Source organism: Homo sapiens, chromosome 7, assembly GCF_000001405.40.
Source record: "Homo sapiens chromosome 7, GRCh38.p14 Primary Assembly".
In the NCBI taxonomy this organism is placed as follows: domain Eukaryota; kingdom Metazoa; phylum Chordata; class Mammalia; order Primates; family Hominidae; genus Homo; species Homo sapiens.
In genome coordinates, this window is record NC_000007.14 from 106030640 (window position 1) to 106036639 (window position 6000).

The 6000-nt window shown below is 45.1% G+C and overlaps 1 protein-coding gene across 2 annotated transcripts in view, besides 1 other annotated feature; it reads left to right on the forward strand.

The window, feature by feature from the left end:
• CDHR3 (cadherin related family member 3) overlaps positions 1 to 5793 on the forward strand; it is a 73169-nt gene extending 67376 nt beyond the window's left edge. For both annotated transcript variants that reach the window (NM_152750.5, NM_001301161.2), the window contains 2 exons: positions 153 to 201; positions 1754 to 5793. In NM_152750.5, the coding sequence (NP_689963.2) occupies positions 153 to 201; positions 1754 to 2058 (354 nt within the window). In that variant the 3' untranslated portion in view covers positions 2059 to 5793. The remainder of the gene's footprint in view (positions 1 to 152; positions 202 to 1753) is intronic.
• Positions 297 to 797: an enhancer, noted in NCBI's record as "H3K4me1 hESC enhancer chr7:105671382-105671882 (GRCh37/hg19 assembly coordinates)". NCBI's record gives its function as "activates a minimal SCP1, AML or CMV promoter by ChIP-STARR-seq in primed H9 embryonic stem cells {active_cell/tissue: H9 hESC(primed)}" and the evidence as "EXISTENCE:reporter gene assay evidence [ECO:0000049][PMID:30033119]".
• Positions 5794 to 6000: the final 207 nt, after the last annotated feature.

A 6000-nucleotide genomic window follows, 5' to 3' on the forward strand; every position in this document is an offset into this window, starting at 1 on the left:
CACTGTGTCCCCTGCATCTATCACAGTGCCTAATTAAAGACTTAGAAGTCAAGAAGGCTTTGGTTAAGGAACTTGGGTTGTGAGGATGTGTAGCTTTGCCTGGGGGAAGGAATGTAGGATTGTGTTTGATGCTGTCTCTGTCTTCTCCTTAGGAAACTATCCAGATGAACACTATCTTTGATGGAGAAGCCATAGATCCAGGTAATTAAGTGGCAATACCACTGTAAGAATGCTTTTTATATTCCAGACTGGTAGAAGCATGGAGGATCTTATCCAATTTCCTGCTTTTAGCTCATTTTGTCAATCCGTTTGGCTATGTTGCCTATATAGTGCTGACTCTTCTAGGCTAAATACAACGTGAGATCAGCTGTGAACCCAGCTGGCTAGCAGATGCTCAAGTACAGGGTCACACTTACGTGAGGCCTCAGTGGGTCTCCACCTAAAGGCTCACGTTCAAGGGCCATGCCTCTTTCTTGCCTCCCTTCCTAAATTACAAACCAGTTGAGGGAACTGGTGAATCCAGGAATCCACATTTTTTTTCCTGCTGTTTGGTACTGATTGCCCCCCCCAGCCCATCCACATTCTTCCTGGATGCTTCTAATAGCACTTATTAGTAGTGGAAGATACAGAGAAATGGCAAGTGTAGTTTCTTTTTTCCCTAGATCAGGGCCAAGAATTTCCTCTTGGTCGGCAAGATGAACATAAGGTAGAGCTGGCCTCCAGAGCTCTCATCACCCCCGTGAAATCAGCTCCAAATTTAGCTCCTTTACACTCATCCCTCTGCTTACAAAGGCTCAATTATAGACGTGAATAAAGGGAAGGAAACCAAATTCAGGAGGCAAGTGTGTTGGCTTCCTGCCACCCTCATATGCAAACGGCACCGGTCCTCCTCCTAAGGAGGATGGCTCCTCTCCAGTGAGAGGCTGCCGCCGCCGCTGCTGCTGCTGCTGGAATTAAATTTCCCTCTATTATTAGGTGCTTGTTACCATAATGTGCCCACATTAGCATAAGTGCTGGTGGGATCCTGAGCTGAGAGGCCACTCATGCTGTATGGAAAAGACAAGGAGCAAGGGCTTGCCTTAAACCTGATCTTCCAGAGCAAAAGGCTCTTCCAGAGCAAAAGGGGGGATTTTTGTGTTTTTGTGTAGTTGAGAGAAAAAAAAAAAAAGAAAGACATGAGCCAACTGGCCTAAGTCAATTAGTGTCTGCTGGCTCGGACACAATAAAAATGGCTTCCTTGTATCATCTCAAGCGGGACCAGATTTTTGTATCTGTGTCTACAAATTGCTGCTAACCTAACATAAATAAAAATCAGCCTTTTCCTTCTCACTTGGTGAATTCCTTTTTATAGCAGGAATTCAGGGGTCTTTTAAAACAAACAAAATGAATCAGAAAGTAACGGGTAATCCCATTAGAGATTGAACCTAATTTATCCAAAGCTTGCATGGAGTTCAAGAGTTACATGGCCTTCTCATCCTGCAATTGAGATGTCCTTGAGACGCTCCTAAGCCTTTCTATCCAGAGAGGTTTGCTGTTTGCTACCTGTGTGGTCCGAGCAGCACGGCTTGTGGCAAGGGCAGGCTGGTGGAGATTGTGGGGCTATTCACACACCTACTGTCTGTGTCAGTGATTCACACCTTCTAGTGTGCTTCATCTTCCCTTGGGAGTCAGAACAGAGCAGGGTAGAAGTGGGGGAAGAGACAGTCATTGGAATTTTCTGGCTTATGTGATTGTTGTATTTTTTTTTCACTAGTGACCGGGGAAACATATGAATTCAACTCAAAAACTGGAGCCAGAAAGTGGAAAGATCCACTAACCCAAATGCCAAAATGGAAAGAGTCCAGCCACCAGGGAGCTGCCCCACGCAGAGTCACTGCTGGGGAAGGGATGGGGTCACTGAGAAGTGCCAACTGGGAAGAAGATGAGCTGAGTGGCAAAGCGTGGGCTGAGGATGCTGGTCTGGGTTCCAGAAATGAGGGTGGCAAGCTGGGCAACCCAAAGAACAGAAATCCAGCCTTCATGAACAGGGCTTACCCCAAACCACACCCAGGAAAGTAAACGGGGTCTAAGGAGGGGCCTGTCAATCACTGAGATGCTGCCTCACCCTAAATTCTATGGGGATGGTGTGGGCATGGTGTAGGGGGGAAAATGTGGGCTGAGGGGATTCAGACATCCAGGGTCAAACATGGGATGTTTGACAAATTTTTAAACAAATAGAAAGGGGTTTGATCACATAGTTGCGTGTTCTGAAATGATACAGGAACATTTTCTATCAGATTTCAGAACTACCTGTGCTTCTGATAAGCAAGACTGTTAACTTTGGGGTGTGGAATTGTTGTGTTTCTTCTTTGCATTGACTGCTAGGAAGCTCTATTCTGTTCACCATAGAAAGTTTGTAGGAATTCCTGACATAAATAGTGAAGACTATCCTTACATCTGGTTTCCACCTTATTTTCCTGCCCTCGTTTTAACATCACCCAGATTTCTTCAGTTATAAATATGCCATACACCTTTGTAAGTCACCTCAAATCTTCTTCAAAAGAAGCAGAACAGTGAAAAAAACAGATGAGTAAGTTAAGAGTTGGTCATCTGGAAAGAAGAAAACTCAGTAGGCACCTTCTTTTGTTTTTTCTTGTGGTGTCCGGATCAGCATCCTGCATGTGAGATTCATCCACGTTGTCCTGTCTAGCAGTAGTTCAGTTCTCTTCATGGTTATGTCTGGTTTCATTCTATGATTATATCACAATTTATCTATTCTACACTTGGGTGGCAGCTGCTTCAGATTTTTTACTTTTAAAAAATATACTTAAAAGTGAACTACAGGCAGGGCATGATGGCTCATGCCTGTAATGCCAGCACTTTGCCAAGGTGGGCAGATCACCTAAGGTCAGGAGTTCAAGATCAGCCTGGCCTAGATGGCAAAACCCTGTCTCTACTAAAAAATACAAAAATTAGCTTGGTGTGGTGGTGGGCACATGTAATCCCAGCTACTTGGGAGGCTGAGGTAGGGAGAACTGCTTAAACCTGAGAGGTGGAGGTTACAGTGAGTTGAGATTGTGCCACTGCACTCTAGCCTGGGTGACAAAGCAAGACTCCATCTCAGAAAAAAAAAATAAAAGTGAATTACAACACTATGAACTTTCTTGTACATGTCTTTTGGTGAACATAAACACTCACTTTTTTGCTCATATATCTAAGAGTGGGATTGCTGGAGCAATTGCTGGATCTGCCAAAGAGTTCCAAAGTGGTGGCTCTGATTCACATTCCAGCAGCAAACACTGAGAGTTGCAATTGCTCTCTATCCTTGCCAACACTTGGGATTGTCAATCCTTTTAACTTTAGCCATTCTGGTTAAAATTACTATTGAAGTGAAATCACTTTTTCCTCAAAGCTGAAACACCATCAGCCTTACAACCTACCTGCCTTGCTCCTTCCCACTTCCTATGATTGGAAGGAACTGCAGGACTCTGAGTGGGGACATACTGGAAGCCCCATCTAGACATAAAACTCAGACTTCCACCTGTAGGCATGAGCAATGAACTGGGAATAAATGGTATTATGATGGAATAGGAAATGTAACTTTCCAATGTGTGCCTAGCAGAGCCTGAGCAAGCTTCACTCGAGCTCTATGCCCTGCTGCCCAGCTGCTGCGACCCTAGTCCAGTAACCCTAAGAAAGGTCCAGGTGAGTGTTCATTAGGGAAGCACTCCCTTCCCAACTGGGGAGTCAGGTGAGAGCCTACCAGGTCCACAAGGTCCTGTGGGAGACAGACTGGATCCAGCAAATGTAGAGCTTCAGAGAGAGCAGCAGCTTGTTTACTGTGTGCCTAGTGCCAGTGTCACTTCTCAAGCAAAAGAAGCATTTGCAAAATGCCTGTCCTGGCCTAGATTGAGCGTGATTTATTAATAAGGGTTGGTTGCCAGGGAACTCCCTTGAATGGATTTAAACTTTGCAAAAGAAGGCAGAACTGTTCATTTATGCAGGTTAAAGTGAGTGAAGTGGCTGATTGCCCATTTAAGGCATTGCAAATCTGTGGGGCCCGGAGTCAAATGCTTTCCTTGGAAGCTCTCAGCTTCAATGCAAGTAAAATGAGGTTCTGAGAAGGCTGAAGGGGGACTTAATAACTGCTTATAAGCCCATTAAGAATGATTAAAAGGGCCGGGTGAGGTGGCTCATGCCTGTAATCCCAGCACTCTGGGAGGCTGAGGCAGGTGGATCACCTGAGGTCAGGAGTTTGAGACCAGCCTGGCCAACATGGTGAAACCCTGTCTCTACTAAAAAATAGAAAAATTAGCTGGACGTGTTAGCAGGCACCTGTAATCCCAGCTACTCAGGAGGCTGAGGCAAGAGAATCGCTTGAACCCAGGAGGCAGAAGTTGCAGTGGGCTGAGATTGCGCCACTGCACTCCAGCCTGGGTGACAAGGGCAAAACTCTGTGTCAAGAAAAAAAAAAAAAAAAGAATAATTAAAAGGAGAGAGTGGTGAGCAGCTGGTCTTTCTTCTCCAGTGATGACAGGGCAAGAGGGAATTGTGCTTAATGGCCAGAGAAGAGATTTAAGTCAGGCACCAAGAGGGACTTCCTGAAGCCTGGGGCCTCTCTGAAGAGCTCAGTGTCTTCTCTGGTGATAGGCAGGAAGAGCTGAGTGTCTTCCTAGTCGCAAGGCAAGCCTCGAGAAACTCAAGAAATAGGGGCAAGAGTGCGCCAGGAGGAGAGAACACCTGCTGCCCCGTTTCTTTTGTATATCCGGCTATTTGGTTCGGGGAAATCCAGAAGTCAAAGTGTCACCGGTGGAGGGTCTTGACTGCAAGTTGTCCAAGTTCTTGGAGTTTTGAACAAAGAATGGAACAAAATGCCCAGCAAAGCAGAGAAAGAATGAGGCAACGAAAGAATGAAAGCAGGGATTTATTGAAAACCAAAGTACACTCCACAGTGTGGGAACGGGCCTGAGCAAGTGACTCAAGGGCCCAGATACAGTCTTCTCAGTCCAAATACCCCTTGGAGGTTTCCCCTTGGCCACTTCATGCTCACCTCATGGAAATGAAGTAGTGGACCACAATTGGTCTGATTGGTTGCAGGAAGCAACCAATCAGAGACTGAAGTGGAGTTACAAAGGTCACGCTCCTGTGCAAACATCTGATTGGTTGCAAAAAGCAACCAATCAGAGGCTAAGGTGAAGTTACAACGTTGCAACGAAGACTCGGCTGGCAATCAGTCTGATTGGTTACAGACAGCCAATTTCCCAGCGTTGACCAGGTTTTGGGGGGAACAAAATTATCTGAATAAAATGAAGACAGCAACCGTCGTGGATTTGGTGAAAGTTTTCTCCCATCTCCCTCTCAAGGCCTTAAACAGGTATGAGTTGATTATAGCCAATGTTTACTTTTCTCATTCTGATTCATTATAAAACTGGGGTAAATACGTTCAGGAATTAGACCACGTAACAATTATAATTGTCGAAGACTTTGAAACTGCATAGTAGATTGTGACATTGGAGCTTTTTGTTGTGCTCATTAGAAAGCAGGGTCTGAAACTCAGCCTGTGTAGCAAGCACGGGTGGCTCACAAGCAGAACTGGGAAATGACACTTCTGCTCCCCAGAGCCCCCTTTCACATCTGGGGTTCTCATTGTTTGCCTTTTTACTTAATGTATTTTGTAATGGCTGTGAAAATTAAGCTACAAAATGAGTGAACATTGAAGACAATGATTGCTATTGAAACTTAGGATTTCTCATTTCAAACTTAGCGTGTGTTTATCCTTCGTATTCATTCAATAAATATCTGTGGAGCAACTACCATGTGCCAAGCGTTGACTCATTAGGAAACACAGCAGCTCCCATCCCTGCCCTTGAGCAGCCTCCATTCTGTTTCTACAGCTGAATGTGGCCTGCTGATAAGCTATTCCACAGAGTTCTAGTTCCAGCTGCATCCTGGCCTATTTGCTCCTTGGATCCTTGAGTGTTCGACTTGAAAGATAAATTAGCCAGGAATAAAATCCCTGGA